A 17,345-nucleotide genomic window follows, 5' to 3' on the forward strand; every position below is an offset into this window, starting at 1 on the left:
ATTCAAAGTTGAACCACGATTGAAAGCTGTAGCTATAGCCTCTCTCCTTGGTGGTATAGCAGAGCTCTCCTGAACTGAACCATGATTGAAAGCTGTAGCTATAGCCTCTCTCCTTGGTAGTATAGCAGAGCTCTCCTGAACTGAACCATGATTGAAAGCTGTAGCTATAGCCTCTCTCCTTGGTGGTATAGTGGAGCTCTCCTGAACTTAATGTTGCTTCATTACCATGCACTCCATCATACAATGTTAAGGGACTGGATTGAAGTGAAACTTTGCGTAAGTGAGTTGGTCTCATACATTGGATAGGATAGCTTAATATAGTATTTAAATCCATTCCTTTCCCTTAGATGATTGGTACATCTCACATACTGATGGGCATCTCCACACGAGCTCTAATTTCTGATTTGTCCAAAGTGCACAGGCTTATTTTAATATTTGACTGTTAAAGATTGTCTTCAAACTCCTATAGGTTTCCTATATCATATATCAAAAAGATACTCATATCTGGCTGGGCGCAGTGGCCCACGCCTGTAATCCTGGCGCTTTGGGAGGCCGAGGTGGGTGGATTGCCTGAGCTCAGGAGTTCGAGACTAGCCTGGGCAACATAGTGAGACCCTGTCTCTACTAAGAATACAAAAAATGAGCAGGGCATGGTAGCGCTTGCCTATAGTCCCAGCTACTTGAGAAGCTGAAGCAGGAGAATCACTTGAACCCAGGAGGTGGAGGTGGCAGTGAGCTGGGATCGTGCAACTGCACTCCAGCCTGGGTAGCAGACTGAGACTCTGCCTCAAGAAAAGAAAAAAGAGAAGAGAAGAGAAGAAAAGAAACTCGTATATTTCTTAGGATCCATATATTTTCTGGGTCCCTTTCTGGGCCCTAGATCCTCATCTAACAAGCTCTCAAGTGTGGCTCATATTGAGAGCTTCTTAGAAATGCACAATCAGCCCCACTCAAGACTTTCCCAATCAGAATCTGCACCTTAGCAGGATCCATGGGCGATAGGATGCACCTTACAGATAGAGAAGCACTTTAACATACATGGTAAAATCAATTGAGTCTCTAGAAGCAGTGTGGGATGGGATTACAGACTGAATTATCTGAATCTAATTCAGATGAATTAGGTTTAGTGATCAATTTCTGGAAATATGTCTGATAAGCCCTCTGTGAGTAACAAGTTACTTTATGTCTCATTTTCCTCATCTAGATATGTGTGGGTCCTCTTTATACCACAGGGGTAGAGTGAGGATTAAATAAGTTAATGCCAGGATGGGCATTCACTGTACTTTTGGTAAAGACGGTGTGCCTTCTCTTCTTCCGGGGCTTACTGAGTAAGCTCTGTTACTCCCACTTGTCCCATATATCTGTGGTTTTGTTTTTACCTCATCTTGCTGTCTTCTCTTATTCTCATTCCCAAACTGTCTTTAGTTAGTTATTAATAATGTATTAAATTGTATTTAGATAGCCTCTAGCATCCAAAAGAGTAAGAGTGTAGTTACTTACCCAAGAGTGTAGTTTGCATGTTAGAGTTAGTTCCATAGGGTAGGTGAGACAAAATAGTAAAAGCCTCTGGGGATTTGATAAGGCATTGAACACACCAGCACAATTTTTGGTTCTTTTTTTATTACACCACAATATAGCTTTGATCTTGCAGATTATATAAGCTCCAAAGTACTTCATGATTGTTTTTATTATAGCCACACTGCACATGAATTTATATTCAGATATACCCATCCTATGGGAATAATGCTATTTTTTTAGCAGATTATTTTTTAAAGCAAACAAATGAATGTTCACTGGAAATCAGTGAGCACCTGGAGGGTCAGTTAGGAGGTGGTTGTTAAAAATATTGGGCTTTGCCTGTGGCTGGTGCTATAAGCTACGCTATTAAATATTGGTGCTACCATATAGGAAATAAAGGCAAATACAGCCGGGTGCGGTGGCTCACACCTGTAATCCCAGCACTTTGGGAGGCCGAGGCGGGCGGATCACGAGGTCAGGAGATTGAGACCATCCTGACCAACATGGTGAAACCCCATCTCTATTAAAAATACAAAAATTAGCTGGGTGTGGTGGTGGGTGCCTGTAATCCCAGCTACTCGGGAGGCTGAGCCAGGAGAATGGCTTGAACCCAGGAGGCAGAGGTTACAGTGAGCCAAGATCATGCCACTGCACTCCAGCCTGGTGACAGAGGAAGACTCTTGTCTCAAAAAAAAAAAAAAAAAAAAAAAAAAGGAAATAAAGGCAAATAAAAGCATTACCAGGATTTTAAATACAAATTAGAGTGGCACCTTTCCAATTTATATAGCATATTCTTTTTTTTTTTTTTTGTGAGACAGAGTTTCGCTCTTGTTGCCCAGGCTGGAGCGCAATGGCACGATCTCAGCTCACTGCAACCTCCGCCTCCCAGGTTAAAGCAATTCTCCTGCCTCAGCCTCCTGAGTAGCTGGGATTACAGGCATGTGCCACCACGCCCAGCTAATTTTTGTATTTTTGGTAGAGACAGGGTTTCTGCATGTTGGTCAGGCTGGTCTCGAACTCCCAACCTCAGGTGAGCCGCCTGCCTCGGCCTCCCAAAGTGCTGGGATTATAGGTGTGAGCCACCGCGCCCGGCCATATAGCATATTCTTTAGGTTAGCTAAAAATAAAAAAAAAAACAACTTGCCGTCTGCTTTTGAGTCTTTATTCCCATCACCTCTGCCCTGCCATACTACCTTGGTGAAGGGCTTCTAGAATATACTTGTGTGTCCTTTTTCTCTCTAATTAGAATGGTTGATGATTATATTGCTCTTTTACTACTCTGTTATGTTTTCTTTTGTTTCCTTGAGGTTGAGATGTCAAAACACGTAAATGGTCAGACTTTTTAGGCCCTTGCCACGTAGAACCTGTGTTTTCCATTTTCTTACTGTGCATTTGGTGCCTTTTGTATGCTAGTCATTATGTAAGGTGCTTTATCGGATTTACTTCGTCATTTTAGAAATTCAGTACTTTGCCTCAGATCATATAACCTAGTACATGGTGAGCTGGGATGGGAATCCAGATCTTGCTTGTCCTAAAGTCCGTGATTCCTGCAGCACTCCCACTGCCTGTATTGAGTCATTCTAATTTTCGTCTTTCCCCATGTACAGTTTCTTCAGTAACCTTGCTTAATGAATTGATTGGAAACCTGTTTTGGCTTTCAGAGGACTGAAATAAATTGTCTCTCCATACATTTTTAAGCAACCCAGGATCCTTTCTGATATGATCAAGCAACTAATGCTTGGTTGAACTAAGATGACTTTTACCATCACTTTGAAGTGAGAAAGTTCTGTTATTGACCTGTTTTCCTGTGTGAGTTTTGAAATGACATGTGTGCCTGCTATTAGAATCTGTTCCGTTCTTGATGATACTTGGTGTCCTAGAAATGTGTCAGACAATTTCTTGTTAATTTTGATGACTAAAATAGTGACGATAATATGAAAATCCTGTATTTTACTTTTATTTGTTCAGGTTGCCTCTGGGGATCAGTCAGTACAGTCAGAAAACTACTGATTGCCTTGAATGGCCGTAGCTCCCCTCTTTTCCCCTACTCAGTTGCCTTTTTGCAAATAAAAAGTACGTGAGGGATTGATTCCGTAGGGGTTTCTTTTGGTTGTTTTTTTGACAGTAGTTTTTACATTCGGCACAGATTTTTAAAATGCACTAAAATAATGTTCTTCAAGATATGATTTGGACTGTGCAGTCATGTCACGTCTCACTTATTTTTCCCTCTCTTTCTCCCCCTTTGCAGGATGATGAAGTGGTTCTGCAGTGCACCGCAACCATCCACAAAGAACAACAGAAGCTATGCTTGGCAGCAGAAGGATTTGGCAACAGACTTTGTTTCTTGGAGTCCACTTCCAATTCCAAGGTGGGATGAAGTCTTTCAAGGCTATTCAAATATGCAAGTTTTACTAGTGGCATTGAAGTTATTTATGAGCTCTCTACTATTTTCTGTGGAATACATACTATATAAATGAAAGGGATATAACAATGTTTTCCATCTCCATTTTGCTGATTTTTAATTGAGTCTCTCCTGGGTACAAAGAACTAGGGATAAGATTATTAGCAAGAACACAGAAAGTCCTTGCCCCATGAGGTTTATATTCTAGTAGAAAAGCAAACAAGTAAATCAGTGATATAATTTGAAAACTGATAAGGGCTAGGAAGATTTAATGGATTATTAAGTTTGTAAAGGAACCAATAGTCTTAGGCTCATTGTATTTTTTTATAAGATAGACTTTCAATTTTCCATATTAACGAAAAGTCAAAACTCTAAATCCCAGTTCATGTTTAAAATACGTAAACCTGGGTCTAGATGCAGTTCACATAGATATATCTGGATTTGACTTTCATTGGTAGAAAATGGGATATGGCTTTTTTTTTTCCTCAAAGTGTTATCTCTTGCATTGATCATAAAGGGCAAAGGACAGAAAGATTGTTGGTAGTAAGTAGTCAGATACTGTAAATTATAGATATACTCTTTGAAATGAGCCCAGCAATATCTTAAGCTACAGAATTTTAAAATCAAAGGCAGAACTAACTTTTTGAGACAATCGCTCCGAGGATATTTATTCTTTTAGGCTGATCTTTGCCTAAAAGAGAATGGTTCATAATATCAGCATAGATTTTCTTGCAGAAATATAAACACTTAATTCTGTTGATATGTTTTGATTAATTATTCCTGATTCCTAATTGTGGATATTTACTGTATGTTCTGTATATGAATGAATTTTCATCTGTGTCTCTATATTTCAGAAATTAGAAGTTGAGGTTTTGCTTTTAGGAACTATTCACTTTGAGACAGACCTACCTTGTTATTATTAAAAATTCAGGGAGAAATGAAGCCTTATCAAAAAGGCATAGTTTTTCATCTCTTTGAATCTCCACATGCAACCAGAAAGAGCTATGAAGAGGGTAAAACTCACAGCCACAGACAATACAGTATCTAAGACAAACTAAGTGGCAAGTTATTCCTACGTATGGTGTCAGTAAATGTATAGGAGGAAGTGCAAGAGAGGTGACATGATTTCTATTGTCTCTGAAAGTCAGTGACAAATCCTTGCTGGAAAGCCTGGTGGGCCAATGTGAAAACAGTAACCACTCCAGGCACGGTGTCTCATGCCTGTAGTCCCAGCACTTTGGGATCCAAGGCAGGCGGATCACTTGAGGTCAGGAGTTCAAGACCGGTCTGGCCAACATAGTGAAACCCTGTCTCTATTAAAAATACAAAAATTAGCTGGGTGTGGTAATGCACACCTGTAATCCCAGCTACTTGGGAGGCTGAGGCACAAGAATCCCTTAAACCCAGGAAGCGAAGATTGCAGTGAGCCAAGATCGCACCACTGCACTCCAGCCTGGGTGACAGAGCAAGATTCTGTCAAAAAGAAAAGAAAAAGAAAGAGAACTAAGAGGAAGCAAAGGAACCATGGCATAGTGAGGTGAGACGTTTCTGGAGTAACCTTGGCCCTATGGACTTTTATAGCTAACTATGTAAAACTCCCTTACAGGTCAAAGTCCTCCTCTGAGGAGAAATTGCAGGGGCGATAGAGGCAAAGGATAGAGAAGGATCGAACCAAAAAAAAAATAGAGGGGGGAAGCAGAACCCATAGATTTCATAAGAGGCCATGTTTCAAGTAGTGGGGAGAACCACAGAACAAGGAGCTCTAGAGCTGTAAAGCTGAAAAAAAGGCTACACTCTCTCTTCTCCCTAAGAGTATAAGAAAAAGCATTTCAATTTTTGTCTGGACATTTGATGTGCTTGTGTTGCCTGTAGACATTATAATTTTATAATATATATAATTATGTATAATTTATATATATTAGTGGAGTAATCTAATTTATATAATTATAATTATGCTTAATATATAATTTATATGTGTATATATTGTTTTATATATAAAAAGAGAATAAGAAGCAGAATAATATCTAAAGGTAATAAAGGTCAACTAGTTAAATAAACATAACTATTTAAAAATGAACTAAAAGAAATTAAAAAAATAAGAGACACTATGAAAGAGCAACATACATTCTTAACTCAGAAACAAGATGAGTAGAGAACAGAGATTTGGAAAAGGGAGCTGAATAACAGGCCAGAATTCCAAATTAAAGAAAAACTAATTTTAGACCTGGAGACTGCATGAGAAGGGACACCAGAGCACGTAAACCCACAGCTTAACATCTGTAGAGATATAGAAGATGGAAAAGTGAAAACCTTTGAAAATCCAAAGGAAATGATTTTATGGAAGACGATTTTCCCATGAACCGGGGCTGGAGGGTGTTTTGGGGATGATTCAAGCACATTACATTTATTGTGCACTTTATTTCTATTATTATTACATTGTAATATATAATAAATTCTAGAACTCACCATAATGTACAATCAGTGGGAGCCCTGAGCTTGTTTTCCTGCTACTAGATGGCTATATCTGGGGGTGACAGTGACAGATCGTCAGGCATTAGATTCTCATAAGAGGGTGTGCAACCTAGATCCCTTGCATGTGCAGTTCACAATAGGGTTTGCACTCCTGTGAGAATCTAATGCTGCTGATGATCTCACAGGACGCAGAGCTCAGGTGGCCAGTGAGGGGGAGCAGCTGTACATACAGATGAAGCTTGCCTGCTGCTCACTTCCGGCTCTGTGGCCTGGTTCCTAAGGGGCCACTGACTGGCACTGATCCATGGCCCAGGGGTTGGGGACCCCTGCCCCAAGAAAACCAAATTGCAGTACAGACTGTGGCACGAGGAATGGTGGTGAGCATTCAAGACACATTTCCCCAAGGAACTGAGATGGAATGATGGTTTTAGGGGAGAGTGTCTTATGGAATGGCTCTGTCCTCTGACAAGGTTAAGTAAGTATGACTACCAAAAATGGGAGAGTGGGTATAGTTTATAAAAATTCAACTTCCTGATTGCTTTATAGATGTAGTCTAAAAGTAAATATAACTTTCACCAGAGATAAATAATATATTAGCTATTTGCAATATTGGTCATAGAACTAAGAAATAGTAATCAAAAAGAGAAGGTCTTAAGAATATTATTTAAAAATATGAGTGTTAGGGAAGCCCAAACTTCCTAAACAAAAGAGATATATAAAAATATATTTATATATTGTATATTTTATGAACATATGTATATTATAAATGATATAATAAACATAACAAAACATACAAGTATTATAAAATATATATTATATATTTATATTATATAACGCATATATTAAATATATTTATATTATAAATTAATGTACATTCATGTTTATTAAGAAATACATATATATTTTATATTATATATAATATTTATAATATATTATAAATATACCTTTATATTATATATATTTAATGTAGATATATGATAATGTAGATATATATGATATGTAGGTATTACATATGATAACTATATATTTCTATTTAAATATAAAAATGCATATTTAATGTACATATTATATATGATATGTATATCCTATGTATATGTGTATATATGTATCACGTATATACATATGACACAGCTGTATGCCACATACCACATATATGACAGTGGTCCCATAAGATCATAATGGAGCTGAAAAATTCCTATTGCCTAGTGATGTCTGGATGATTTCAATCTTGTGTAGGCCTACAATGATGTGAATTTGAGTCTTAGTTTTTAACAAAAAAGTTTAAAAAGTAAAAAAAAATTAAAAAATAGGAAAGAGGTGTCTAGAACAAAGATATAAAGAAAATATTTTCATACAGCTGTGTTTGTATTTTAAGCTAAGTGTTATTACAAAAATAAAAAAGCTAACAAAATTAAAGTTTATAAAGTAAAAAGTTACAATAAGCTAAGGTTAATTTATCATTGAACAAAGAAAATTTTAAAAATAAATTTAGTGCAGCCTAAGTGTACAGCGTTTATAAAGTTTGCAGTAGGGTAGTGTCCTAGGCCTTCACATTCACCCACCACTCACTCACTGACTCACCAGAGTAACTTCCGGTCGTGCAAGCTCCATTTATTGTAAGGTGTCCTATATAGGTGTACCGTTTTTTACCTTTTATATCACATTTTTACTGTACTTTTTCTATTTTGAGATATGTTTATATAAACAGATACCACTGTGTTACAGTTGCCTCCAGTATTCAGTATAGTCATGTGTTGTACAGGTTTGTAGCCTAGGAGTAATAGGCTATACCGTACATACCTAGGTGTATAGGAGGCTGTACCATTTAGGTTTGTATTACATACACTCCATGATGTACACATAATGATAAGATCACCTGATGACACATTTCTAGCATGTGTCCCCATCATTAAGTGATGCATGTCTGTATATATATATCATCCATGGGTGATGCACACACACACATACACGCACACACACACACACACACATACACACCGCACACATAAAATGTTTTAAATAAAAGGAAAATTTTCATTTTAAATAAAAATGAAATTATATATTTATAGTATTTTTTAATTAAAATATGCATTTTAACAATCTAGGAGAATTGAGGCCAAAGTGTATTGATTATATAAACAATTATAAGTGAGTTTGACTTACCTATTAAAATAAGAACTTAAAATTATAAGCATGACTACAAAGCCAAATCTAACACTATGTATACAAAAACAAAGGCATTCAGAAAGGGAAAAATAAAAGGATAGACAAGGATATACCAAGAAATGCAAACAAAAAGAAAGCAGATGTCTTTATCTCATTATTTGACAAGGCATAATTTAGACTAAAAAACTTTGAGACAAAGAAGGATTTTTTTTTTATCATGCCAAAGGGTACATTTCTCAATGAAGACAAAGTAGTTTCATGGCCCCAATAACAGATACAACTTTTACAAAGTAGAAACCTCAGAAGTTGCAAAGAGAAACGTAGAAACATACCAATAATAAGAGACGTAACACACTTCAACTTGAAAAAAATAAGTACAATGCTTAGCATAATCAATAAGGTTGACCTTATAGAGATATGTCAAAATCTGAACCTCAAAAATAGAATATACCTTTCTTTAAAGTTCACATACCATATTAAAGAATATTGACAATATTTTAGGCCACAAAGAAAACTTCAGTAAGTTCCAAAGAATAGGAATAATACAAATATAACTATAAAGAAACTAGAAGTTAATTTTTTAAAAAGCAAAAACAAAATCAGCCCCCTAAAAAATAAAAACCACACAAAAGACTTTTCTATCTGAAAATTAAAATGTACACTATTAATTAAATCTTGGGTCAAAGGCAAAATAAAATTGAAGAGTTTCTTGAACATCATGATAATGAACATGTGATGTTTTAGAATGCATGGGATATAGCTAAAGAAGTTATCAGAATAAAATCTATAGCATTAAATGCATATATTCGTATTTTATTTTATTTTTTTTTGAGATGGAGTCTCGCTCTGTTGCCCAGGTTGGAGCGTGGTAGCACGAACTCGGCTAACTGAAACGTCCACCTCCTGCATTCAAGCAATTCTCCTTTCTCAGCCTCCCGAGTTGCTGAGATTACAGGCACCCACCACCATGCCTGGCTAATTTTTGTATTTTTAGTAGAGACGGGGTTTTGCCATGTTGGCCAGGCTGGTCTAGAACGCCTGACCTCAGGTGGTCTGCCTGCTTTGGCCTCCCAAAGTGCTGAGATTACAAGCGTGAGCCACCACGCCTGGCCTCAGTGCATATATTATTAAAAATGAAAATTTAAATCAATGAATTAAACAACCAGATGAAAACTGGGAGAAGAACAACAAAGCAAAATAAAGCAACAAAATGGTATTAATAAAGATAAGAAAGAAATTGCTGAGTTAATTCTGAAAATTGGTCCTTTGAAAAAAATCATCAACATAGACAAACCATGAATTAGCCTAATCAAGGATAAAGGGAGTACAAATATTTGATTATTAGAAGTTACATATGAGTTGGAAGGGGATAATGATCACAAAAGGAAATTAAGTCATAAGGGACCATTTGTCTAACTACATACAAGTGAACTTTAAAATCTTCATGAAATGAATAATTTCAAGAAAATAAAAATTTACCACATTAAGTTCAAACAGACCAATTATCATAAAATAAATAGTGTGGTAGAAGTATTCCCTGACAAGACACGCGCCAAGGTCGGATACTCCCTACTTAACTATGTTCCTTAAATTATTCCAAAGCATAATAAAAGAAGGAAAAGTTTCAAATTTATTTTGTCAAGTAAATGTAATTTAAATTTCAAAATTAAGAAAAAATTTTTTGCAAAGGTAATTTATAGATCGATTTCAGTTTTATTGATACAGAAATTTTCTGAGATAAAATATTTTAAATAAACCAATGTTGCATTAAAATCTTTATCATGACCAGTGAAGGTTATTCCAGGAATCCAAGAATAGCTCAATACGATAAATCAATTAATATAATTCTTCATATTAGGAAAGATAAGGAGAAAAATCCTTTGAACTTACTCATAGGGAAAAGGCACTGAACAAAATTTAAATTCTATTTATGTTTAAAAAATAATAAAATACCTCCTTAACATTATTTTATAAGCGCATGTGCACACACACGCTTCAGTTCAAAATCAGCACTTTCTTTAAGGTAGTACACTAGCAGTTAAAGTCAGGTGTAAGTTAAGGATGTCCAGCATGCCCTCTGCAATACATGCCTGTGTTGGAGGTATGAGCCAATGTGATTAGACACTGAAGATCAGACATGGAGAGGTAAAACTATTTCTAGATGTAGATGATTTGATTATATACCTAAAATTCCCAAAAATTAATCAGTGGAAAAGCTGCTATAGGAGTGGATTGATGAGAGAAATCCATAATGTAGCAGGTTATAAAATCAATGGCCACATAACCTGGCAACATAGCGAGACCCTGTGTCTCTACAAAACTAAAAAATTAGGCGAGGTTTGGTCTCTAAAGACCAGACCCTGTCTCTACAAAAATTTAAAAATTAGCTGGGTCTGGTGGCATGTGCCTGTGGTCCCAGCTACTCAGGAGGCTGAGGCAGGAGGATTGCTTGAGCCTAACAGTTTGAGGCTGCAGTGAGCCGAGATCGTACCACTGCATTGCAGCCTAGGTGACAGAGTGAGACCCTGTCTCAAAATAAGTAACTAAATAAACAAACAAAAAATAATAGCCTTAGGCCAACTGTTCACAAATATAAAGTCATTAAGCCTTAACACTATGTTTATTTGCTATTTTTGATAATATTACTAATGTATTTATTATGTTTTTATCATGTATACATGTGCTAATAAATTAATTTCCTATATGTGTGTTACATCAGTAAATTTTTGAGGATCATAGATTTGAAGTGCTGTTTCTGTTTTTCTTTGTGGATTTTTTTGTTATTGTTGTTTTGTTTTTTTGAGTCAGGATCTGGCTGTTTTGCCCAGGCTAGAGTGAAGTTGCATGATCTTGGCTCACTGTAGTATCTGCCTCCTGGGCTCAAGCAGTCTTCCCACCTCAGCCTTCCAGGTATCTACGACTACAGGCACACACTACTATGCCCAGCTAATTTTTGTATTTTTTTTTTTTTTTTTTTTTTTTTTGTAGAGATAGGGTTTCACTGTGTTGCCCAGGCTGGTCTCAAAGTCCTGGGCTCAAGCGATCTTCCTTCCTCAGCCTCCCAAAGTGCTGAGATTACAGCTGTCAGCCACCGTACCTGCCTGGGAATTTTTTTAAAGCTCAAATTGGATAAGAGGGTTATAGGAATATATTCATCTATCATATAGAAAAGAATATGTGCTCAGTCCCAGGAAATAGAAAATATATTACCTTATTTATACTGTTTTAATTAATGCTTTTTAAAATCTGATTAACTCTGGGAGATAGTAGGATAGAATAAAATGATTTCTGAGTAGGAGATAAGTGAATATAATTTGTACTCCTGAGAGCTGGTGTTAAATTTTTGCAACCCAGTTTTACTCATGGGCAGACCTTTTTAAAAGGAAACACCCACAGTCTGTATGAATTTGATTCTCGTGTGGATAGTATAGACTTAAGCACTGAACATGGTCTGAGCAGGTTTGCTTTGCTGCTTACCAGCGATTATAGTGGAAAATCCTACTCCTGGATATAGCAGCTCTGTAATAATAGCCACTGTCAGGACTTATTAGGGAATTGCTCTTCGTTTCTCCTTTTCATTTATAATCACTTTATAATCAGTAAAATATTTGATTAAGTGGAATAACTGCCAGTTAAACTAATGTTCCTTTGATAATATTTGGGTTATTCTAGGGTTTTAAGTTGAATTAGATCAAGAAACAATTCATAATTGGTGTTCAGTGGTTACAGTCAGTATATTTAATATACGAGCAGATTTTAAATAAATGCTATATGTTTTTTTCATAGAGCAGAATAACTTTAATCCACTGAAATGGATCAGACTAGTTTGAGTTTCCTCTTCAAGGACTGAGGATGTTTAAACAATGATCATAAGAAAAGCGGGCTAAATAAAACTGCCTTTACACTTTTCTGAAGGATTGCTATAGTATTTGGCTTGACAGTTTCACTGGGGACTAATTTATTTGGCTTTTCATGTTCATGACAGGGTGCAGTTTATAATAATAAGCAATGGTTAACACAAATCATTTTATAAGACTCTCTATACTGCTGAGTCTCACCTTGTTCAGATGATCTAAAACTCATGACAATAAGTACTTAAAAAATAATTAATATCTAATTTTATACTAAATTAAATTCTGATGATTGCACCACTGTACTCCAGCCTAGGCAACAGAGTGAGACTCTGTCTCAATCAATAAATCATTAAATCAATTAATTAAATCTCAAATTCTACTGGATTATTAAGCAGTGATAGTTTTTAAGTGTTTGAGAATGATTATTATAGAAATTTTTAATTGAGCAAAAAGTTTTGCAAAACTGGGAAAGATTTTAGCATCGTTACACAAGGTTGAACCTCATGCAACACCAGGATTTCATAGGAGCACAGTTTTATACAGATGAGGACCATTGTTTTATGCAGATGTGACAATTGAATCAATAGTCATGCAGTGCTGCCCCTACAAAAGGGACATTCATTAAAAAACAGTAAAAGCCATTCTTATTTAATTATCTCACTGCTTCAAGCATAGTTTTCTGGTATTCATCATCGTGGACTCTGGATAGAGGCAGTAAGAGGATCTTTGAGATCTGTTGCATCCAATATTTCAATTATTCTGTATTTCTGAGACTGATACACATTCACAGTATGTATGAAACAGTATTGTTGATTTTTATCAGGTTTCCAAAAAGGAAGCTGGGCCTTGTAGATGTAACAATATCAAGAGCTCTTTCTGTTTCTTCCAATTTCTATGGCGTCACTTTAATTAAAAGTATTTCTTCTCATAATGGAACATGATAGAGCAATACTTTATATTCGGTGACTTCTCATTATTCACCAGCATAAATAATGCATTAAGATATTAATGATGCATAATAGTTGTGATATTCCAGATGAACTGATCTTCTTATTCAAGTGAGAATTTTTGAATAATAAAAATGTCGGTATAAGATAAATGCTAGATGATGTAAGAAAGATTCACTTCATATATAGTTTATGAACCATCTTAAACAGCAGATACTTGTTTCTTGACGATTTCTCTAAAAATTAATTGAAATAATAAAACAATTATAAGGAAATAAATATTAACATTATTGCTGTTTCTTCTCTCTACTTTATTCATTTTGACTTTCACAGAATTTTGTTTGTGCAAATGAGAGGCAAAAGAAAGACCACTGTTTTGTAAAGAATATAAATTATCAATAACTATATTTTTCAATATTCTTATGTTTCAGTTATATAATATTTATTTCCCAATATTTTTAGAGAAAAATAAAGTAGATGGTAAGTGTGGCAGAAAGGAAATATCCTAATATTTTGTGACTATCTTGTCAATGTAGAATAAGTGATTAGATACTTGAACAGAGTTCCGATAGAACAGAAGAGTTGAAAGAAAATATTTAACAGTTTTCTTGGCAGATTGTTGAATTGGACCTGAATGGAACTGCTTGTTAAATTGTGATTCATAAGTTATGTGGAAATAATTCTTCTTACTGGTTTTTTTTTTTTTTGTTTTCTGAGATGGAGTCTCACTCTGTCTCCCGGGCTGGAGTGCAGTGGTGCAATCTCGGCTCACTGCAACCTCCACCTTCTAGGTTCAAGTGATTCTCCTGCCTCAGCCTCCTGAGTAGCTGGGATTACAGGCACGCACCACCACACCTGGCTAATTTTTGTATTTTTAGTAGAAATGGGGTTTCACCATGTTGGCCAAGCTGGTCTCGAACTCCTGACCTTAGGTGATCCGCCTGCCTCAGCCTCCCAAAGTGCTGGGATTTCAGGCATGAGCCACCACGCCTGGCCTCTTTTTAGTATTTTTAACATGCATTTATGCTGGTATCCAGTTAAGGTAGAGTGGTGACACAAAGGGCAAAGATGACATAATTGAAATTCCCAAAATAGAAGGCATTTTATGGAATACTTGAATTACATACCTAATTTTATACTAAATTAAACTCCAGTGAGGAATACAACATCAGTGTCTTGCCTTATGATGCCTTACGCCTTATGATGTGAACTAAAGACTCATTCTGGAAATTTTTAAAAGATTTTAAAGAATTCTCATTGTAGTCATAGGTGAGCTCCTAATTTCCCATTATGTTTCTCATAAGATGTAGAAAATGAAGCAACATGAAAACTTAGGAAAACACTGATGTCTAAGAGATCTCCATTAATTATAAGGCAGATGAAACTTGTTGGAAAAAACCTACCTGGAGTTCACCTCTTGCACACAGTTTCATCTCAAACACTGCAAAAAGATTGGCAGATATTTTAATCCACCTAACCTGTCAGCTTCAGCCAAAGGGGGCTGTGCTTACAAAGTGCGTAGCCAGTTTTTGTTCCTTCCTTCTGCTCTGCTGCATCCCGTCAGTGCAGACTCCCCCCAGATGGTGCAGGCATTGGTAGGCAGTAAGCTGGTGATGACCCATTCTGTTCTGGAAGCCTTAGTTCTCACAAATACAATGCTGAGGGCTTATTGCAAACAGGAACAGCACTGGTGGAAGTACAGAATAGGGATTGTGGTTTTGATGATGGTGTATCCATTGTAATAACAGAGAACAGAACTAAGGGTAGGGGAAGGAGAAGCTGTTAATTCAGATGGTCAGAGCTGAATTAAGTGAATGTTTGTGAAAAACTGAAAACTACACTTGGAGTATATACTGCAGAGGGCCCGCTGCCACCGTTAGAACCCTGGTAACAGAGTATATACTACAGAGTGCCTGCTGCCACTGTTAGAACCCTGGTTATAGAGTATATACTGCAGAGTGCCCGCTGCCACTGTTAGAAGCCTGGCTATAAAGTATATACTGCAGAAAGTATATACTTTCTGAATCTAAGAGTATGATTTAGCCATCACTGGAGTGAACACACTGCAGCAAATGAAGCTCTAACACAGAAGTTGGCGCATTTTTTTTTTTTTCTGTATAGAGCCAGATGGGAAATATTTTAGTTTTGTGGGTCAGATGTTTTCTATTCAGCTTGGACATTGCAGTGTGAAAGTGGCCGTGGACCATATGTAAACAGATGAACATGGCTGTGTTCCAAAAAACCTGTACTTACGGGCACTGAAAATTCAATTTCATATTTTCATGTGCCATAAAATATTTTTTTCTTTTTCTTGCAATTTTTTTTCAACTGTTGAAAAATGTGCAAGCCATTCTTAACTCTTGGGCTGTGATTTGGTCCATGGCCATGATGTGCTTAGCCCAGCTCTAACATATGGAAAGTATTATATTGCTAAAGGGAAAGCTAGACAAATAAAATGGGAGCAACTGTCAGAGATATGATAGAGGCAAAGTTTGCTGCCAATAGGTTAGATGCACTTGCCCTCCTAAAGCTGGGAAGGAGAATACTTATGTCAGGAGCTACTGGTGAAGTTTTATGAAAGTATAGGGATGGCATTTGAGTGGGACTCCTTGACAGATGGTACTTAAGTTAATGAATGTTTTTGATGTTTGAAAGGATGAGAGAATAAATGGGTAAAATACGAATATAGCTCAATAGAGTGTGATATAGAAGGAAGCATTTCATAAGGAGAATGAGAACAAAGGCATAGAGAAGAAGCATTTGTTGGTGGCTGGGAACTCCCAAGTGTTCTGCTGAGGGGTAAAGTCAGGTTTCAAATGCCATGTAACCAGCACAACTTTATTTGAAAGATGAAGGGAGCTTCTGAAAGCTTTCTAACAGTGGATTGCATTATTTCACCTGTTGCCACTTGCCAATTTGCACACTTAGACATGCATAAACAACCCTGGAGGTATAAACCTCCAGTTGGGTTTTAATAAAAGATGACATGCCTTTGGATATACTCTGTTCTCGCTCTTCCTGGAAGACCCTTGCGCGTTCTTCACCTGAAGGAAGTCTCTTCATTGTTTAGGTATCTGTCAAATGTTTTTTCCTTTGTAAAGTCTTCCTGTGTTTACAATGCATCTCCCTCCTTTATGACAAATAATTCTGTTTTCTTTCTTGCTTGCCTGTCTACCTGGTTGCTTTCTATTTCCTTCTCTTCCTCTCTTTCTCATTCACTTGATCGCTTTTTCTCTTTTTCTTCCTCCCTCCCACGCTCCTCTCTTTCAAGCAAAATTAATTCCTCCTTTGACTGCGTAACTTGCTGCTAACTCATGTGTCCCTTTACATTTACTTTGGCGTTTCTCAAATTATGAAAGCACCTGCAGGCAGAGACAGCCTCTCAGTCATCTTGTATCTCAGGTACATAATACAGTTTTGAAGGAAGTAGAGCCTCAATAAATGTGCATTGATTTTTGACTGGATTTCCTTATTTAGGCTAATAATATTGATGTATCCATTTTGGCAGTTTATCAGTTCATTTGACTTTTTATATCCTACTGTACTCTCCAAAGAATACACAGCCACTGTCTTCCTGTTTCAAGGAATTTAATGTTTTCAAGGTTGCTGGAGTAAATATTCATATTTGTTACTATAATAATGCTTAATCCTATATAGATTGATAATGGTCTTGGTATAGTACATTTGTAGTAATATTTAATTTACTACTTGGTATCAATTTCTTTTTTTCCGTAAGTTACTGGAGTACAGGTGGTATTTGGTTACATGAGTAAGTTCTTTAGTGGTGATTTGTGAGATTTTGGGGCACCCATCACCTGAGCAGTATACACTGCACCATATTTGTTGTCTTTTATCCCTCATCCTCCTTCCACTCTTCCCCTGAAGTTCCCAAAGTCATATCATTCTTATGCCTTTGCATCCTCATAGCTTAGCTCCCACATATCAGTGAGGACATACGATGTTTGGTTTTCCATAACTAAGTTACTT

At 36.5% G+C, this 17,345-nt stretch overlaps 1 protein-coding gene across 18 annotated transcripts in view; it reads left to right on the forward strand.

Annotated features, from left to right (window-relative positions):
* RYR2 (ryanodine receptor 2) overlaps positions 1-17,345 on the forward strand; it is a 791,805-nt gene that overhangs the window by 224,547 nt on the left and 549,913 nt on the right. For all 18 annotated transcript variants that reach the window (XR_007062490.1, XR_002957299.2, XM_006711802.4 and 15 more), the window contains exon 2: positions 3,767-3,886. Coding sequence is in view for 16 of the 18 variants with exons in the window: in XM_006711802.4 (XP_006711865.1) it covers positions 3,767-3,886 (120 nt within the window). In the remaining 2 variants the exon portion in view is untranslated. The remainder of the gene's footprint in view (positions 1-3,766; positions 3,887-17,345) is intronic.

The sequence above is a fragment of the Homo sapiens genome, chromosome 1 (assembly GCF_000001405.40).
Source record: "Homo sapiens chromosome 1, GRCh38.p14 Primary Assembly".
Lineage (NCBI taxonomy): Eukaryota > Metazoa > Chordata > Mammalia > Primates > Hominidae > Homo > Homo sapiens.